Source organism: Homo sapiens, chromosome 18, assembly GCF_000001405.40.
Source record: "Homo sapiens chromosome 18, GRCh38.p14 Primary Assembly".
In the NCBI taxonomy this organism is placed as follows: domain Eukaryota; kingdom Metazoa; phylum Chordata; class Mammalia; order Primates; family Hominidae; genus Homo; species Homo sapiens.
This window is the reverse complement of record NC_000018.10, coordinates 36,396,402-36,418,200: the sequence shown is the minus strand read 5'-3', so window position 1 is coordinate 36,418,200 and position 21,799 is coordinate 36,396,402. Positions and strand designations below refer to the sequence as shown.

Genomic DNA, 21,799 nt, shown 5'->3' with positions numbered 1-21,799 from the left:
GATATGTTTGTCTAAATGGATTGAAGCCACAGCATTTCCAAATTCCAAATGGCAACCCACCCTGAAGGGGCAAGAGTGTCAGCAAATCAAAGTGAGAACTGACAAGTGTCATTTTTGCCGCAAAAACCAAACACTATGATTGCACCTCGTGATATGAAAAATTATATGCATTAATATGTCTAAGACATTTCCTTTTTATTAAAAGTAACATTTTCAGTCTAAATTTCTTAAATTAGTGGTAACAATTTAAAAACAAAAAGCTCTGTAAACCAAAAAATTTTCCAGGACAGTTAATATAAGTTGATTAGCTGCATTTCAAGGAAATGGAAAGTTGGTAAAAGAAATTAAGGCCAACATTATAATCTTCTCTAAGGCAGTTCATTTACTGAGTGGCTTAATTGTTTTTCAAATATCTGGGGAGGGGAAGTTGGCTAAAGGCTTCATATTTGCTATCGTCCTTTTTTAACAATCCCTCACTAGCACAGAAATATATGGAAGAGCAATATCAACAACAAAGTGTGTGATTATAGAAAGAGGCTTCTAAGGTATATGATCTCATGAAATAAAGCCACATATATATATTCTGATTTCCTACCATTCAACCCAGCAATCCCATTACTGGGTATATACCCAAAGGAATATAAGTCATTCTATTATAAAGACACATGCACACGTTCATTGCAGCACTATTCACAATAGCAAAGACATGGAATCAACCTAAATGCCCATGAATGATAGACTGGATAAAGAAAAAGTGGTATATGTACACCATGGAATACCATGCAGCCATAATAAAGAACGAGATCATGTCCTTTGCAGGGACATGGAAGGAGCTGGAAGTCATTATCCTCAGCAAACTAATGCAGGAACAGAAAACCAAATACCACCTGTTCCTACTAATAAGTAGGAGCTAAATGATGAGAACACATGGACACATAGAGGGGAACAATAGACACTGGGGCCTATCAGAGGATGGATGATGGGAGGAGGGAGAGGATCAAGAAAAATAACTAATGGATACTAGGCTTAATACCTGGGTGATGAAATAATCTGTACAACAAATCCCTATGACATAAGTTTACCTATATAACAAACCTGCACACGTACTCCCTGAACTTAAAAGTTAAATTTAAAAAATTACAAATATGTGTATATATAAAAAACTGTGCATGTGTATGTACGTGTGTGTATGTGTATATATATCTATATGTTCTGATTTCCTTCAGTACTTCTCACCCAAGAGCCAGGGTGGGAGTGGTGGGTGGGAATGAAGTAGAATTGAAGAAATAGATGCCTCTGGCTTTGAACTGCTTGGAAAAAGGAGACTGGGCTGGCAGGAGGAAGCGCTTGTACACTCTTCTAAGGACACAGAGGTGGCTTGAAGGCAAGGGAGCAGGGGCTGGCTTTCAAAGGTTTTAAGCGACAAAGTATCCCAATCAGATCTGCATTTCAGAAAGATCACCCTGCAAAGCATATGGAGGAAGGGAGAGCTGGGAGAGAATCCACAGGGAGAGCGATGCAAAAGTCCAACACAGAGGTGCCAAGAGCCCCAGGTTAAGCTGACAGCAACTGGAATGGAGAAAGGACTCATGGGCACAACCTCACAAATCAAAATTACATATCCTTAATAAGCAGAGAGTAGAAACTGAACAAAGTAAGTGCTATTGACCCAATGGCTGTGGAGGGTGTGCTAATGAGCAGATCATGGCTCATTCAGGCAACTGTGTCTGAGGCACAGGCCACAGCTCCAGGATGTGAATCGAGATGCCCACATGACAGACCTTACGGACTCATCACACTTCCTAAATAACGTTCAAGCCACCTGTTCATATTTCAGTGTAATCATAGATGGTTAAGAAATGACACCTGGGTGGGCATGGTGGCTCACGCCTGTAATCCCAGCACTTTGGAAGGCCGAGGCAGGCGGATCACGAGGTCAAGAGATCGAGACTATCCTGGCTAACATGGTGGAACCCTGTCTCTAATAAAAATACAAAAAAATTAGCTGGGCGTGATGGTGCACGCCTATAGTCCCAGCTACTCGCAAGGCTGAGGCAGGAGAATTGCTTGAACCCGGGAGGCAGAGGTTGCAGTGAGCCGAGATCATGCCACTGCACTCCAGCCTAGCAACAGAGTGAAACTCCATCTCAAAAAAATAAATAAAAAATGACACCTATGTATATGATATTCAGCTATTCAATGTGCTTGAAATATGTCTGAAAAACAAATTTGTTTCCAGTTGATTTGAGAGTTAAGCAGTCTGGAAGAGAAAGACAGTCATCTGGTTAGGTCACCAAACTTCATCAATCAAAGACCAAATTTCTTTCTCTCTGTCTTGCAGGGCTGCTGCGGCATGGAAAGGAAAAATGCCACCCTTATTATGTAGTCTTGGAAAAAGAATCACATGCCAATGGAATGAAAATGTCTGCCTGAAATTAAGAATGCAAAACTGAACATAGTCCAGAGTTTGGCATTTCTTTTAAGATTTGAGAAACATGCTGATAATTTTAATCCTACTGGAAATGACTTACCGTATGACTTGGGTTTCTGCTAAATATAGATTACTGCAGCCTGGCAAATTTTAAAATAATCAACCAATTAAGTTGCCTGAATAAAACAGTTCAAACAAAATGCAGCTGAAAAGGAACCATTTGTCCTCAGTGACAGACCAAATCATGTAATTTAAATTTTAATGATGTATGAATAAATCCTTGCGTGCTGACAAGGTTTTAAGAAGTCACATTTTCTTCTTCAGAACCACTTTTTCTCCCCTTTCTCTTGCTCTCTGACAGCCTAATCAATTCTCACCCTACACCCTATCTCAGCCTCACTGCTCCCTCCTAAGTCAATTTTGCTGATTTGTTGTGAAGAACAAAATGAGATCATAAACCTGACAGATATATATGTGAAATATGATTGAACAAACATTCAGGATGGGCCTCTCCTTTGTGAAAAGTGAATTAGCACTAACCACAGAATTCTGGCAGTGGACTCACCTTTATTCTCTTATGGCCCTAGTCATCAGGGTCTTGCCCCACCTCAGCCTGCACTGTCCATGAAAAATGGGCACTCGACAGAGGCCTCACACTTTCCCTGAAACACTGTGAGGCCCTCCTGGTGAGGGGACTCAGAAATGGAGGTGCCCAAAAATCCCCCGCTGTGGTCCTTGCTCCCCAGTTCCCAAACTCACTGCCCCCTCCTGCTAGCCAGGTCCCTTGGCTACTGAGGTGTCCATGTCTTGCCCAAGAAAATGGCCTAGAGAAAAGGGGCTCTGCCCACCCACCACAGAGGGTAAGCTAGAAGTCAGACAGCCCTGCAGGAGCCCCTCCTGCTGCCACAAGCCAAGTGATCTCTTGACAGCTTCAATCTGACCTTTGTGAGTTTCCATTCCCTGTGCCCCCAGAAACCCCCTGCCACCTGTCTGGCAGGCTGTGAGGGTTAAAACTCCTGAAACGTCCTACCCAGGCTCAGCCCACAGAATGTGGTCAATAAACAGTGGGGATGGTGGCTTCTACTGCCGCCACTGTTGCCATCATCATCACAGGCATCACAGCCACCAGGGGCCACGGGATCATCCCCCAAGGTCCAGCATATAACTGGCACCAATGAATGATGGGATGAGTTGATGCGGGTGGACAAGTGGCTGGGTGGCTGGAGCCTTCAGGTAAGACAGGAGCTTCTGTGGCATGATGGGCAGCAGCTCTCCTTGGTATTGCTGCCACCTTTGGCTCTGGAACTCACTCGGCTAAATGTAATAATGGATGGAAATGCACACTCCACCCTTACGTGTCCTTTATGCACTCTGGACGAAGCAGTAAGTAATAGGAAGAGATGGACATCTGAGGTCAGTAGGATTTGGTTTTCAATCTCAACTTTTAATAGGACTTTTATGTGAATGAGCTTTGCTTTCTTCATCCTAAAACAGAAATAACTTGCTCACTTAGGCTGTCATGAGGAGCAGCTAAAGTCACGGCGCATCCATGCAGCTACTCCTGTGCTTGATACATGACGGGTCCTCAAGAATTCAGTCATCTTTCTTTCCATCTTGTTCATCTCTGCTAGCAACTGCCTAGTGTGCCAAATAAGGTGGACCTGCTGAGTTAAATGTGCTCAGCTGAAAAACTATAAAACCTCAAGTCCTCTTTTGAAACTCTGAAACTCTTCTGTAAACCTTGCTTCTATAAGCCCAACTTAAAATAATTTTAAAAAATAAAATTTAAAAATTATATAGGCAAATCCATAGAGACATAAGGTAGATTAGAGGTTACATGGGCTGTAGGTGAGGGTAGAATGGGAAGTTAATGCTTAATAGTTACAGTTTCTGTTAGGGAAGATGAAAAAGTTTTGAAGACACTTTTTGGTGATGGTTGCACAAAATGGTGAATGTAAGTAATGACACTGAAATGTACACTTAAAATGGTTAAAATGGAATTCTTCTGTTATGTATATTTTACTACACTAAGAAAATGTTTAAGTTATATGTAGGGCATTGTGAATTCTGGAGAATAAGGGGAACATAGGTCTTTTGGTAACTCTAAGTGTCCCTTAGCATTGCCATGAATGAAGCACATAAATCCAGGCTGCCTAACATGAGGGGTGCAGCTGTGCTTGATAAATAGAGATCTGGTGTGGGACAGTTAATCTTAACTCCAAAAGCAACTTGCAATCCACAAGGAAAGCAGACATGGTCATGCCAGGCCTGCTGAGCAGCATGGGCATCTTCCTCCCTTCAGCAGGCCTGACCTCAGCTCACAGCCCAAAAAAGAACCCACTGCCATGTTCCTAGGTCCCAAATCCAGTGTGCCATGCTTTCAACTTTTTTACTAGAGGAAATATTAAACCTCTGGGAGGGGCCACAGACTCATGGGGGTGTCCATGTATATGTTCTGGAGATGGAGCTGAACACAGGCAAGGCTGAGCTGCGCACCCGGAAAATGAGCTTGTTCCCCTGAGGAGTTGTGACATCGCTGTCCACCCATCACCAAGGCATCTTTTCTTAAGGGTTCTTTTTCCAAACACAACCTGACAACAACATTGGTCTTATGTTGGAAAATATAAGGAACAGTCCACCTTTCTGACAAATTTCTGATGCCTTTTGCTGAAAACCAGGGTGCCTAAATGACACAACTGTGTTTCTGGGAAAGGTGCAGTTCTCTGCTCTGGCCCTGCCCATTGCCAGATCTTCAGTTGTGTCTTTTTGTTGAATGAAGTTTCACCATGTGCCCACCAGTGGGCAGTGGCCCTGTGAAGGCTCCAGGTAGGTGTCTAGGACACCAGTTCCAAAGCAACAATATGACCTCTGTGAGCTTCCATCCCCACCACTCCTTGCCCCAGAAACCCACTGCAACATGCTGCTAGGAAGATGAGAAAATTCTTGTTATCATTCATTCTTCATTATATATCGGCTTTTTGTACAATTTTCAACATTAGACTTCTATACCTAACATTTTTAACCTTAATTTTATTTAACAGCAAACATCCTTTAATTAAAACAAAAAAAGCCTGAAATGATTGTAGCAAAAAGTATTATGACTTTTATAAAATGGCTTTAAGAGCAAATTCTCTTTACCTTAAGTCTCTCTTTAAGGGAAGAAGAGGTTCATCTGGGCAACTCTTCTCCAGAATCATTTTTACTTTTACATGGGGAAAATCGCATAATATCTTTCCAAGACACATGGATAGCTTTCCCAGCTGTTCAAGAATAAATCTGATTTTAGTCCTTGTCACTTGTCAATCACCCTGATTTTAAATTATATGCATTGCAGCAACATTTTTATTTGTGTTTTAAAATTGGTATCACTTTTTCCCCTTAGAGTAAGCTATATTTCTATAAATTTTAGTTTAATTTAAAATACTGGAACTAAAGTAGTTTTAATTATCTTGGTAAGGAGCTTTTTCTCAAATTGTTCTCCAAGTGCAGATGTGAACATATATACAGAAGGGACTTGCATTCATACGGATCCCCTCATCACATTTGTTCTTGCTAAAGAAAGAGCAGTGAGTTTGAGCAGCTTTTCAATCCCCTGCAACCCATCCCCTAAAGCAATGACCCTGAGCAATATTAACTGCCCTCCAGCCCCGCCCCTTCCTGCCTGCGTGGGATGGGGGATTGTGGGAAACAGTTCTGGTTATAATTAGGCAAGCACTTTACACACACTTTACACAAAGGGCTCAAATCCTACTCACCACTCCAGTGGTTTGTTGCTCTGCAGATGGGCCACCAGGAAGAGTCTATTTTAGGAGCATCTGGTTGTAGGTGAGAGAAGAAAGGCCAAGGGAGGCGCCATTGCTTGGAGCAGCAGCTACCCAAAGAGAAAAAGCCAGTGGGCAGGTCAATCTCCCAAATGGCCACATGGTGGCCTTGTTTTAGGACTAGAGGCAGGAGAGTGCCAAGGCACTGGAATAAGTTAGGGGGCTTTCATTTTAAAAATAGGAATCAGAATCTTGGTTCTTCACCCTTTTTGAAAATTAATAACTACAGCATTCTCCTGGGCCACTCAGGCCAGGTGGTGGAGATAAACCCACAGGATCAGTTGCTCTATTTTGTACTGCAAACATTGTAAATGTGGTTACTCTATATTATACTGACAAAAATAAAAAGCAAATAAGGCAATTAACATAAAAAATAAATGAAGTAAAATAAGATGAAATGCAGCCACTAAAAAATAGGAACAAAAAGGTGTTTAGAGGCCAGATTTTATTGTCTTAAGAGCCAGAATTCAATGGTTAAATATCCTTTTATGAATGTTAGTTTCAAATATAGACAGATAAGAAATCAATTGATTCCTCATTCAGGATCACATAGTAACAAATGATACCCTTTGAGGAATTACATTATTTTGATAATTTTCTTCACAACGGATCCCAAAGAAATTTACAAAAGCACTTAAAAGTTTTAAAAGTGAAATTTAAAATGTATTTATTAACATCAAAAATATATGAGGATGGTCTTTTCAACAAATGGTGCTACAACAACTGGGTATCCATATGCAAAAAAAATTAAATTGGACCCCTACCTCACACTAAATACAAAATGGATCAGAGACCTAAATGTAAGAGCTAAAATGATAAAAGTCTTAGAGAAAAATTGAAGTAAATCTTCATGGCCTTGGATTAGGCAATTATTTCTTAGATATAAAACTAAAATTACAAGCAAAAAGAAGAAAAAACTGGGTAAATTAGATTGCATCAAAATTAAAAACTTTCTGTTTAAAAGAACATCATCAAGAACACAAAAAGGCAACCCACAGAATGGGAGAAAATATTTGCAAAGCGTATATCTGATAAGGGACTTGTATCCAGAATATATAAAGAACTCCTACAAAATTTAACAATTAAAAAAAAGCCAAATAACCCTATTTTTTAAGTGGCCAAGGATTTGAAGAACATTTCTCCAAAGGTGATATACAAATGCCCAATAGGCACATGAGAAGATGCTCAATGTCATTAGCCACATGGGAAATGCAAATCAAAATCATGCTGAGATGTAATTTCAAACTCACTAAAAACAGCTATAATCAACGAGACAGACAAAAACAAATTCTTACCACATTGGTAAGAATGTGGAAAAACTGGAAATCTCATACATTACCAGTGGGAATGTGAATGGGGCAGCTGCTTTGGAAAATCATGTGGCAGTTCCTTAAAACGCTAAATGTCGAGTTACTAACTGATCTAACCATCCCATTCTAGGTACATGCCTAGGCAATGTAAAAACACATGTTGACACAAAAACTTGTACATAAATGTTCATACCAGCATTATTCATAATAGAAACAACTCAAATGTCTATCTGCTGGTGAATAGACAAACAACATGTAGTGTATCCATACAATGGAATATTAGCCACAAAAAGGAATGGAGTACCAATGAATACTACAACATGGATGAACCTTGAGAAGTTATGCTAAGTGAACGAAGCCAGACACAAAAGGCTATATATGATTTTATTTAAAATGAAATATCTAGAATAGGCAAATCCACAGAGACAGAAAGTGGATTCATGGTTACCAGGGATTGGAGACGGCAGGGGGGAAATTAGGTGTGACTGTGAATAGGTGTGGTGTTTTTTTTGAGGATGATGAAAATGTCCTAAAATTGTAGTGATGGTTGCATAACTCTGTGACAATATTAAATACCACTGAATCAGACACTTTAGGTGAGTGAATTGTATAGTATGTGAATTACAGCTTGTAAAGCCCTTCTACTTCCGGGAGGTTCACAGCATCATGACAGGCATGGGACACCCGGGCAACGCCCTGTCTTCTGATCATCTCCTCTCATGGGCATTATTGCCCTGTTTTCTCCAACAGCAACATATTAGGTCAACAGAGGGGCAGAAGGGACGGTTAAGAGTGGAATAAGCCACCCCAAAGCCACCTTCAGGGCAGTGCTTCTTCCCCAAGCTGCCACTGTGCTGCCAGAGCAACCACCCAGGCCACACCCCCAGAGCTCTGGGGCCAAAGCTCTAGCTTTTCCACATACCAAAGTCTGTATCTGACGGTCAGCCCTAAAGACTCACTGCAAACTATGTCTTCTTTATTCATTCACTAAACATTTATTGAGTACCTACTGTATACCAGGCCCTGAAATGGGCATAATGCCTGGCACTGAGAACACAGACATGAGAGAAAAAGTCAATGGGCTCTGAGCCCAGTAGAGGGGGAAATGAATCAACAATAACACGGGAAGGTTCCTGGGAACACAAACCCTGGGCTCCCAGACCAGGGAGATGAAATAAAGGTTTGCTGGGGGAAGGAGCACTGAGTTGAATAGTGCAAGACAGCAACGAGCTAGCCAGGTGAGGAAGGTGAGGAAGGGTGATCAGACATGACAGCCAACAGCATGGATGAAGAGCTTCCGCTGCCTCGAACTCCTAGACTGTGCTATCAGTCTTAGAAGAGCTGTTTCTTTTCTCTACATGGATATCACGCCTGCATGCTTCAGACCAGCAGCTTAATTCTTACAAGGCAGGTGCTGAAGGAGATGTGCATGCCCCTTCACCCTGCTCAAGGAGAATTACCCCCCCAAGAAGGTTTCCCATGGTTAGCAGAGGATGGTGGTTCTGGTGGTCTCCTCCTGGAAAGGGAAGGAATTTGCCGGGCCGCAAGACTCAGCCCGGTGAGAAGCACTGGTCCAGAGTCCAAAGGCCCCAGTTCAAGTCTTTGTCCTGCCTTTTACCTGTGGAGTCACTGATGCTCTCAGACCCAGCTCCCCAGCAGGGGGAGTGAGCCCCTCCTCGCAATAATAATGAGTGATTCCATGACCTGGTCAACCTATCGCCATTGTGACCACTTGCCTCAGTCATTGCTCACACACTTATTCACACAGCCATAAATCAACCCATTCATGGTAGAGTCATGCGGCCCATCTGCTCCTGGGAGGTGATCCACCACATGCTCCAGGCTTGGCTCCTGGGCGCTAGACATCCTTGCGCTTCCCTTGATGGGAATACTCTTTAGCCCTGGCCAGATCCCAATGCTTCTACCCCTGGCTCCTTCCTGCCAACTCCTTGGCTGTGCTTGTGCCCATCACTGGCTGTCCAACCCCTGCTCCAAGTAACCACTGGCACTATGTCCTGGGTATGAGCCAACTCACTACATTGGTCTTCAGCTTCATTCCTCGGTGATGGAGCTACCTCTGTTTGCCAAGAAGTCTCTAGAAGGCATCTTCCCACTCAGTGCCATGAGACAGCCCTTCCCCTGTACCCCCCCATGCCCTTCACACCTCCTTCAGCTGCCCTATAACACCCATTAGCCTGGCCCACACCACTGCCACCTCAGGGCATTAACCCCTTAGCTTCTCAAACACTCCTCCCCGTGGGGCATGCAGATCTGCCCACCAATGCAGGACCTGCCCTACACACCCCACTAACTGAGACTGTGTCTCACCAGGTTGATGGACACCCCTCTTTATGATCAAGACCATTGTGAAGATTCCACATTAATATCACCACATTCTTGCATACACTTCAGCCTTTTCTTTCCTCCACAGCTGACCTTAATAATTAACAAGTAAATTCTGTTATTAGTTTGAAAGACTGGTGAATGGACAGGACAGAGGATTCATGCTAATGTGGCACCTGGAGAAGCTGTCATCCAGTGTAGCCCCAAGGGCTCTGGAAGGCGGTCTCAGGGGCACAGGGGTCTCCGCCCACAGGAAGTTGAGCAGCCAAGGCCACACGCTCCTGAGCCTCAGTCAAACAGTTCCAATATCATCTATCTACCTTACATCTGTACTCCCTATATCATATGAGAAAGGATTGTGCAGCTTGAAAACTATGTAACAATCATTGATCATCTACTAGCTCTCACTCAGTTCACCACAACCCTACAAGTATTATTATAAGTATCACTATTTTTCAGATGAGGACACTGAGGCACAGAAGTTAAGTAGGATATTCAAAGTCCCAACCACTGACTGACAGAACCAGGATTCAAACCCAGGCAGCTCAGGAATGCACACTCTGTATCCTACTCTACATTGGATGGATTCGTGTAGGGTGTCTGCAGAAGCTCACAGTAGAGTTTAGAGAAGCAGCCTAACATATAGGAAAATGTGTCTTCGGAGTCAGACAAACTTCAATTCAAATTCTTACTCCATCGCTTACGCTCAAGTCTTTGATATCTGGGAACCTTTTTGAACCTCAGTTTTCTTATCTATAAAATGGAGTGATGACACCTATTTTGCAAGCCTGTTAGACTTGGGTTAAACTGAAATCGTGAGTGTGAGGGTCATAACAAGGTGCAGAGTCCCTGGCAGATGTGCAACCAAAGCAGCAGGGCTGTTACCACCATCATTAGTGCTCACAAGCACCGGCAGACAGCAGGGAGCATGTTGGTGGGGAAATGTATATGAGGGAGGATCAATGAATTGGTAGAGACTGGAGCAAAAAGAGAATTTGTAAAGTACTACTTTTTAATATGGCTGCAGGTTGGAATCACCCAAAAAAGCTCTGTGGCCTTATAAAGCCCTCTCAAGCCAGCTCTACATTTGTCTGTTTAAAAAGCTTCACATGTGACTCTGGACCACATTCCTATGTGGTGGGGAAAGGGGAACTAGAGTAGTCCTTGGAGGAGGAAACTGAGAGGTGAGCAAAGACTGACAGGGAAAGCAGAGGACAGCAGGCATATCTTTACCACTGATCAGTTGGTCCAGACACATGATGCGATTACACTGTATACTAATGGACCCTGAAGCCCTTCTCTGTGCACAGCACTGGTCTCAGGCATGACTTCATCCCACAGCAGGCACAGAAGCAGGTGCACCTGGTCAACGTTTACTGGAGGGCGGATGCGTAGGTAAGCAGGTGGACAGATGGGTGACGTGGTAAGCCAGGTGAGAACACACACATGGTCTGATCACACACAGAGAGTACCCTAGTGGGGCCTGCCACTAATATGGGCTCCTGCCAACAGCCTCTTCTCTTTACCAGTCCATGAAAGTGGTTTATAGACTGTTCTGACTCAAGCTGCCCGCCAGAATATGCACTATCAATAATTCCAAAATTCCGCAATAACCTTCCAAATATAAGAGCTCCCAGTCCCCAAGGGCAGCTCATCTCAGATCAAATTCATTCATTCTAAAGTGAATATGACTGATAGGCTCAGGGCGGGGGGCAGATTTTCAAAAAGAGTTTGCTAACCCAAACACACCCCGTTTAAATGTCACCTGTAAAAGGCATTTGCATCCCTCTCTCCCCACCCCCAACCACTCCTAATCCTATGCCAGAAGGTCCGGACCCAAATGCGCCATCCTCATTCCCGCACATGCCAAGGCTGTTTTGAGGCCCATAAACGCTGAGAGGAAAACTCTTACAAGGTATAAAATCTAGCTCTCAAAAACGTAAGAGTAATAAAACAAGGCAAGAGGACCAGTATATTTGTGAGCTGTCTGACTCAGCTCAAATCAGTATCTTTGTGGCAGGCCACATTTCAGCAGCTGTATTTGTAGCAGCAATGCCTATTCAATGCCATATCAGTGTGACAGGTGACCCAGCACCAGCATGATGAGCATTCCATGAAAACTGGTCCCATTTCTCATTGCCTCTAAAAGCATCTGCAGGTGCCACCTTGCTTTAAAAAAACAAAAACAAAAACAAAAAAACAAAAACAAAAACAAAAAACAGGCAAGGCCACAATGTGAACTTAGGGCAGATCAAAGCTCATCAAAGTCCACACTACTGAAATGAATTTGACACCTCACCATTATCAAAAACCTACTAAGTGCTTAGCACTGCTGGGCACAGACCACTGAGCAGCTGATTCAACTTCTGGAACCCACAGGCAAACTTGAAATGCCATGTTTTAAATAGAAACAGAGCCTCACTTCATTTAACCGACAAAGGGGGAAAAAAAGGAAAATAATTATTATGCAATTCCCAGTATACATGAACCTTACAGCCACAAACAAGACTTATTCCTCCATGTGGACAAGAATCACATCTGTTCCATATTTTGGTATGTTCACAGTCATATAAACATGTCCTCACAGCTAGCTCTTTGGGAAACTTACGAAGCATAAATTCTTTGTTCATCCTGAGTTCTATAAACATTGGTCCTTAGCTTTATTCCATTTCTGTTTTTTGTTGTTGTTGTTATCCTATTTCCACCTGTATTTTATATATTCAAGAAATCCTACCTTGAGATGTCACACACCCATAAAATAATGTAGGCCAAAAAATAAAAACCTGAAAATTTAAATTGCATCCTGCAAGCCTTCCATGACTATCAATTTGGCTCATACGAGCCTGACACTTACCTCTACCTCCAAAGAAAGTGGAAAGGAAAGAAGAATATCTCCATAGCTTTAAAATATGATTTGATCTTTGAAATAAATCCTTCTGCAATTGTAAATGTTAATATAACTAGACAAATTGGTGGAATCGAACCTCTTCAACATTTCCATTTAATAACCCAGTGCTGTGAAGTGTTGTGAGGCCCATCTTACAGATGCACAAATTCAGGGCTGGAGAAATCAAAGAAAATAGCTACTAAATGGAAGAGACAGGGATTTAACCCTGAACTTTCAGCCACATGTCCATTTCTCTTTCTACCTCACGGGGGCTGATGTTTTATAAATAAGGAATGAAGTAAAGCCTTCACACAGAGCAAGGCCCCAGCTATGGATACCCCAAGGGCACTGGGGCTTGCCTTAGCTCAGTGGTTCTCAGCCCTGGTCACCTGGTAGGATCACCTGGAAAAACTTTTAAAGGACACCAATGACTCACAAAAGTCAGAATATGAAGAGAGCATTAGTGGTATTATCATCTATTAGATCATTGGTTTCATATCAGAGTATAAATGTGTAACTGATTTTACACTTCTAGTAATTGCTAACCAAAAGGACTGAAAAAAAATTCTAGCGACGAAAGCTAAAAGCACTCATAGTCACACCATAAGAACAGCAAGCATGGCAGCCCTCAGGTCCAAGGATGGAGGAACAATACCGCAAGCACACAACTGCTCAGCTACCCAGTGCATTTCCCTTGAGCCCCCCAATAGCCACTGAACTGGGTGCATGAGAATTGCACGAACTGATGACTCAGGCCTTGACATCACCTAGGGGCTTGTCAGAAATTCAGGATCTCAGGCCCCGCCCGAGACCTACCAAATCTGAGTCCCCAAGTGATACATCTGCACACTGGCATTTGAAAATCTGCCCTGCAGGCATTTGGAACCTAGCATGGGGTCAGGCCATATGCATGCATACTATTCTACAATAGCAACAACTTGCCTCCTTTTAGGTGTCAGCTGCTGGGCCAAGTCTTTCACACTTTCACCTCATTTAATTCATTTTATCAACTCCATAAGGAGAACACTACAATCCCTGATTTATGGATAAGGAAGCAGACACCTGGAGAGGTCACCTGAGGTCACAGAGCAGTAAGAGGCCAGGTCTGGATATGAACCAACATCCCAGGGGATATGTCACCAACACCCCAAGCAGGCAACACCTCAGCAGATGGCTGACCTGGGGCTAGTCCAGAAAAGCTTGTAGACTGAGAGAATCCCTACAGGAGGGCAGGACCAAGAGACAGGAAAGCCCAGGAGGTCAGAGAGGCCTGGGTCAGTGGCCAGCACTGCCCAAACCCTCAGGGAGCAGATTGCGGGAGGGAAGAGAGGAGAACGTAAGTTACCTAAACCAGGGAAGTTCAGTTTCTGCCTCTGTATGCAGGGGATATCAAAACCTCCCTGCTAATAAGGTAGAAATATGATCCCACAAGGAAAGCCTTCACACAGAGCAAGGCCCCAGCTATGGATACCCCAAGGGCACTGGGGCTTGCCTTAGCTCAGTGGTTCTCAGCCCTGGTCACCTGGTAGGATCACCTGGAAAAACTTTTAAAGGACACCAATGCCCACTCTACCTTCAGCAAGTCAGATCCCACTGGGCTGCCACAGGGTCCAGGCACCAGTTCTTTTTAGAAATTGCTCAGGTATCCCAATACAGTTACGAATATTCCCACCTTAAATTGAAATGTCTTTGACTGATAGTTGCTGGCCAGACTCTAGAACAATTCCTAATGGAATCCGTAATTATTTGGCTAACCTTTTCTTATGATTTTATGTTTTTGTGTTTTTTTACTAAAATCTCCAGTGTTTTTATGATGACTAAGAGTTAAAATTCTGCATGGAGTATATTTGTTTGGGGAAGATCAACAGTAAGATCCGTAAGTGATAAGTTCCATTCTGAGAGCATGTATGGGTCAAGTAACCCCGGCACACAGGAGGCCTTCTCAGGTTCCAATCTTAGTAGGTGGCACAAAAGGAGGACTTGCCACTCATCTTGCAGTTAATGTCAGAGACGTTTCTTTAAAGGTGGGAACAGAATTAGGGAACTTTGTGAACTAACTAGTTTTCTTCATTCTATTCGACACCCCCAATAAGCATGCAGATTCACCTTATGCAATGTCTTACTCTATTCTACCAGTACCATTCCAAAAGGTGGGTAGAGGGAGGAGGGAAGCTGCAGAGGACAGAACACACCCTAGGCCAGCCCCCTAGGGGAGAGAGGAAGGAGACACACATAGCTCCCTCAACTACTCTGGGGCTTTCCTGGCTGGGCTGGGGCCTGCTGCAGCTCTGGTCTTAGAGGATTTTCACTGAGCAGCTCCGAGAAGCACTGGATTCTGCACCCTGCACCCTCATGGCCCCCTCCCAACAAAACTATCCTCGAAGATTTTCACTTCATTGTCATGACTTAGCAACGTCTAACCAAGGAGAACTTTCCTATGGCCTTGCCAGCTTAAGCGTCTAACTTGCGTCACCGTTGGCCACAGCTTCAGCTCAGGCAAACACGCCTCTCAGCAGATGTGAAACAAAAGATGCTGCTATGTGTAAACCTTTGGTTTTCTGCAGCTGATGGAAACTCACTGTGGTTCTAGTTCAGATAATCTGAAAAGTGGAACATATTTGTTAAAGCCTTAAAAATCAGAAAGATAGAAAATTCCTTTCCACTCTGCACAAAGCCTTTTGTGACATAAGGGAAGGGAAAGGCTCAAACGGATCACACAATGTCACATCAAACAAGCAGTAATGGATGTCAGGGAAAGAGCACTGGACTAAAGTCGTGGAAAAATGGACTGTAGTCCTGGCCCGACAGTTGCTAGCTGTGTGACCTTGGACATGTCCCTTTTCCTCTCTGGGGTATTTTCATATGTGTGTGTGTGTGTGTGTGTGTGTGTGTGTGTGTGTGTATAATTGCATCACATTATATATCACTAAAAATATACATTATAATTTTTATATTGCATATTACATACTATGATAAAATATATAATATGTATTTCACACATATATATGAGAAAATATCCCAGAGAGGTAGTGGCATGGGTTATGTGTGTATATAAGGGATATAGATCAAGATGAGCACTCAGGTTCTTTGCTGTCATCAGCGTATTAATCTATAATGAGCCAGCTACGCTCAAGAAGGCCTCTTTGCTGCCATGTGAAAAGAAGAACAAGCAGTGATCAGCCTTCCTCACTCCTGGAGCTTCATCACTTTTTCTGTTTTTAAAAACAAAAGGACCACGCCCAGCCGACTCAGTACTTCTCTCGCACCTTGCCCGCCCCAAAGGCCACCACTCTTTGTTGGCTTATACTGTTCTCAGGGCTATAATTGAACAATCACAATTTTAAAAGCACCACATTTAAGTTTCCTGCCTTAAAAACAAAATGGAATTTTTAAAAAGAATATATGCAAGAGAAGTGAAGACATACGTCCACATAAATGCTTGTATACAAGGGTTCATTACAGCATTATTTATAACAGCCAAAGAGCAAAAACACAGAGGATGTGAGCAACCTTTCTGTGTAACTTACATATTTCTACTTGTAAATCAATGAATTGGTAAAAATGGTCCTTCAGGTCTGCTTAGCCAGTAATGACGGCCACTCTGTGCTACATACCGTGTGAGGGATAGAACATGAGGGGCCAGGTTAAGCACTGCCCTCACAGGTTTTCAACAGATGATAACTCAGAACACTTTTACTTCCTTGATTCCATCTAATCCTCCCAAAAGCCCAGAGAGCATAGAATGTTGTTGTACCTGTTTTACACATTGGGAAAGTGAGGCTCAGAGAGGTGCAGTAACCCAACCAAAGCCACATACTGGCTGGAGCTGATACACAGAGCAAGATCCTGGGAATCAGCCTCTTGGTCTAGTGCTCTCTGAAGACATGTGCCCACCCCTCCTTCTCATGCTCTTGGAAGTTGACAAAGGCATCCTTGCCAATGACAGGCTGTCTTAGTTCATTCAGACTGCTATAACAAAATACTTTAGACTGGGTAATTCATAAACAATAGAAATGTATTGCTCACTGTTCTGAAGGCTGGGAAGGCCAAGATCAAGGTAACGGCAGATTCAGTGTCTGGTGAGGTCTTGTTCCTTATAGGTAGCACTGTGTATGTGTCCTCATAGGGTGGAAGGGGAAAGTGGTTAACAAGCTTCCTTGGGCCTCTTCTATAAGAGGATATCAATTCCATTCATGAGGGTGGAACCTTCACCTCCCAAAGCCCCTACCTTTTGATACCAGTGCTTTGGTGATTGGATTTCATCACATGAATCTGGGGGGACACCAATATTCAGACCACAGCACGCCATGCATCACGTCCTGCAAAATGCTGGCCAAACTCTCCTTCTCCCTAACTAGTGTCCAGTGGCTCCCTGGAATGCAAGAGTGATCCACCCCTCCCTCCAGAGCAACAGGTCAGCCTTGCACTTTCACATAAAAGGCACAGAGAGTGAAGCCAGCAACCGACACTTTCCTCCATCTCCCTTCTATAACTCTCCTTCCTCGATGTCAAATGTCTTCACCATCCTGATCCTTTTTTTCTTTTGTGACCACTTATTCTGCTTCCGGGATGGGTCCTCTCCTCCTCTGTCCATGGAGAGAAAAAGAGGATGCCATCCCAAAGGAGATGGCTGTGGACACTCACTTCCTGGTTGCCTTTGGTTAGACCTCTGCTCCCAGCCTCCATCCCTGTTCCAGGGTAAGGCCTGCTCTCAGCTCTGGTGGATGCACTGAGTGAGAAGAACTCCACCCTCTTGGTCCCTTCCCCAGGCCACAGCTGCCACTGCCCCAATCTCATAGAGGACTCCTTCAAACCAACCACAGTCTCCTTCTCAGACCGCTCATGATTCACCTGGTTCACCCAGAGATCTAGGGAAAATTCAGCCTCTGGGTGGGGTCTGGGATTCTGCATTTCTAACTAGGTAATGTCAATGCTGCTGGCCTGGGGACCACACTTTGAGTGGAAAGTCCTAGAGGTCTCCAGGAAAGAGCTGTGGGGGTAGGGGCAGACAGGAACCAATTGGACTTACAAGACCATTGTCCTCTCCATTTAGAAGAGGAACAGGAAAGAACAACGTTTCTATTTTTCTTTTGGTAAAATTTATTGGAGTAATTACTTTTTTCACTCTATTTTTAAGGTCTTGCTTAAATACTGAGCTCTTCTAGAATGTAAAATTATCATTTATTCAACAGCATATTTCATTTCCAGTTCATTTTTTTCCATGGCTCTACAAACATACAAAAATAAACCTTGAAAACTAATTAAAATTACCCATAAACTCTACTGTTGAGAATCAGAGCTGGAGAAATACATTTCAGTTCACAGAAAGATGCATGGGGAGCTGAGGGGTGATAGATGTCTGCGGCCAGGATCCACACCTCACACCCTCTTCCTGTCCAGCTTTTGGGAACATTCTTACATTTTTATTTTCACCCAGTGAATGAAGGAACTCTATGATTCAGAAGGAGCAAAGTCAAATTCTGCCTGAACCCTCAGGCCTGGCCTGTTGGGCCAGCAGCCATCTCGTGCCTCTAAACTCAAAACTGTCCTCTAACTGTGTACTCACTTGGTCTTCCTCCCAGCAAGATGGGAGCTCAGAGCATCTTCCTGGCGGTGGCTATAAACAGTTGATCCTGGATTCCCAGCAATAGCTCTCTATAATGTTCTAAAACCAAATGAGCCTTCTGCAGCAGGGTCATCAATACTAAATGTGGAGCAAGAAGAAAAGCGGAGGGGGCTAGAAGGCCCTAGAGCACCTGAGCACAAGGCTAGCCAAACCAGCAAGGTGCATGCCCTGAGCCCCAAGGGCAGCCTGGGGTGGAGAAAATGCCTCCAGGAGCCACTTCCTCAGGGTCACCCACCAAGATAAGAGTGGAGCTCTGGGACAAGATGGGGACCTCAAAGACAGACTGCTACAGGATCTCCTAAGGGAGCTTTCAAATTGCAAAACAAAAGACACATATAACATCTGTGTGTGGACACTTAGGATTAATCCACATCAGAAAACTCAAATACATGTCTAGTCGTACTCAAGTGAGACAGCTCACAGACCCATAGGTGCAAGCTGGGAAGGGCAAGGCCTTGCATGGCCGTGTTCAGAGCTGAAATAATGAGTCATAGCCTGCCCCAGATGCTTGCCCTCCTTGGGACAAACGAACAGGACACTGAAATTGGGCCAGGCCAGCAATCTGGGGCCATGGAAAGGAGAAGCACCTGAGCTACACCTTCCAGTGCCCCATTATCAACACCAAGGAATGTGATGGGCCTGTTTTCAGAACAGCAGTGTCCCCTTCCTGGAAGGGTGGCGTAGATCTCTGCTTGCTTGATGTCAGATACAAGGTACCCAAACTCTCCTCCAATCCTGGAAAATAGGCAGCTTTGGACAAATAAGTCCTAGATCACAAAAATCTCACACTGTCTCCCAGAAGAATGAGTTCAGAGCTAGTCTCAACACCAGCCAGACCAAAAGACAGGGGATCCCAGCCTTCCCACATGCCACACATATTTCTCCTCAGATCCCCCCCATCCCTGTCCTATACCTCCCTCCTCACAACACACTGAAATGTACCCAAAAACATCCCTTTAGAGGGGGTCACAGACATACAATGTACCTGCATCATGGAAAATAGGCAGACTTTTACCTATTTTGGTAAATTGGAACTTGGAACAAAGGTTGAAGGGAACGCAAAGCACATGTGAATGAGTGGGATTACACTGACCACTCGCTTAAAGCTCTGCCTAGGCATGCACAGGGCACCAACCATACAGCAGGCACCCACCTGCCCTGGCTTGTTCCTGATATGCCCTGACCATCACAATGGAACAAATCATTGAGACTACACAACAGCTCCACTCCCCTCAGGCTCTGAGCACCTACTGCAACTGGAATCCTAACCAGTACTGAGTGCCGGCATTTTCTTTCTGAAAAAAACAGTGGTTATAGAATTACAACATGATCCAGCAATTCCATGCTTGGGTATATATCCAAAAGAACTGAAAGCAGCTTATTACCACACTTAAAAGACAGCATCTTAGGAAGTATTGCTAGAAAGGCAGGAAGGAGAAACATCTCTCTCCACCTACTGCTACTGCCAAGAGACTAAAGATCTGCACTGAGATGCCATCAGCATCCCAAGATATGGTGCAAATAGTTCAATTCATAGCACTGAATTGTTTTCATTTGCAGAACAGCATAAATGTAATGAGAAAAATATGTTAAGATTAAAATCATACTCAAAATATCCTTTTAACTTCCTGCATATTTATTCACGTTTGTGTTCAAGAATACAGCAGGAAAAACCCATTCATTTCTGGGTTGCCTATTAAAATATCCACTCTCTCCTTCTTACTAGAAGAACCCCAGTGTTTCTTTGGGTAGCCTAGTAGCCAGATAAAACCATTCAGTTCCATGACTCCTTAGCAGCTACCTGTATCCACATGACTAAATTCTGTCCAATAACATGTAAACAGAAATGTTCCAGTAAACTTCCAGAAAGCCTCTTAAGAGCATAGGGCAAGTCCTTCATCAACCCTCCCTCCTTTCTGCTGCCTAGAATGCAGAAGTAATGCCTAAAACTCAAGCAGTCAATCTGATCCCCCTGGAACAACCATACTAGCCCTAGAGTGCGGACCCCTAGTCTTCTAATTTTACATGATAGGAAAGGGCACTTCTCTCTTGAAGGCATTTCCTATTGTTTTGGGAGTTCATTATATAAAAGTAAACTGAATTCTAAGTAACCATTTTTAGGAAATTATCTTAAAAATCACCAATAAAGACAGGATTCTATAAAGATGGAGGCAGAGACATACTATTTGAATCTCTATATAAATCTACATTAAAATATAACAAATAATGGGTGAAGAGCATATGGGGTCTCTATACTACTTGTTACAAATGTGTGTGAATCTCAAAATAGTTTTTAGTATCTAAAACCCATCCTTTAAAAAAGCAACCAGAAAGCAAAACAAAAGCACCATAAGCAATATTTATAAAATGAAAAATGTCAAAATACAAATGGGTAAAAACAATTTCTACAAACACTAAAATAAAAGGGTAGAAGGACAAACCACCAACAGCCTGAGATATGCATGCTATTATTATCTGTTCAGCAGAGAGTAGAGGGAAACAATGAGACATCTGACAGACCTGAGAACAGGAGAAGCCAAAATAACCAGCAGATATTCACTGGAGAGTATATTAGGCTCATTTGAGAACAGCAGCTGAAACTGAGAGGGGTATTGACCAATCTAATGCTAGGTAAGTCAATGGTCCCATGGTTTGGACTAAAAGATCTGTAGCAATCTAGCTTCTATGAATTCTTAAAACTGGCCCCCAGGGATTCCTTCCAGGATAGGAGAAACTGCTGGGAGTGGAATTAAAACTCAGAAATAGTGGAGCAGTAATATAAAGGAAAGAAATGCTCAAAATAAAAGTGAGAGACAAGAATAGAGACAAGAAATCTCAGAATGCAATCAGTCATGTTTCTAAACCCTATGCTAAAACAATAGATGTCTGTGAAGTTAAAAAAAAAATGTGAACCAAGCCTCCTGCTAAAAGTTCAAGAAAACTGATTTTATATAAAAATGAGCAACATAAAAATATCAAGGTCAAATTTCATACAGAATTATTATAAGGAAGAAGAGAATAAGGAGTTTAATAACATCTGTACAGACAATTAAAGCATGTCAAAAAGTCATAGCTAAAGTGCCTAAAATCACACCTAAATTGTACCTAAAGTCATACCTAAAATCAAATTTATAACCTACCTTTTCAAAATAAGAGATACAAGCTAAGAACATAAATCAGAATTAGAAAAACAGAAATGAAATGAACAGAACTCAAGAATATCATTTGAATTTAAATAAATGAAAAGTCATTAAAGAAATGATAAACTAGGACAGAAAACTAAATAAACACAATAATAATAATGCTTCAAGAGATGCAGAAAGTTAAAGGGGGACATTTTTTCAAATCAAAAAGAAATGACAAAAGTGATTCAAGAGAAAC

General features: G+C 42.9%; 1 protein-coding gene across 43 annotated transcripts in view; it reads right to left on the bottom strand.

Moving 5' to 3' along the window:
• Positions 1 to 21,799, bottom strand: part of FHOD3 (formin homology 2 domain containing 3) — a 482,508-nt gene that overhangs the window by 362,020 nt on the left and 98,689 nt on the right. The window contains exon 1 of one of the 43 annotated variants that reach the window (XM_024451268.2): positions 6,187 to 7,859. The exons of 41 other annotated variants lie outside the window; for them this stretch is intronic. The gene's annotated coding sequence lies outside the window, so the exon portion shown is untranslated. Of the gene's footprint in view, positions 1 to 6,186; positions 7,860 to 21,799 lie in introns of those variants that run through there. One more of the 43 variants, XM_047437862.1, reaches the window with a different exon arrangement.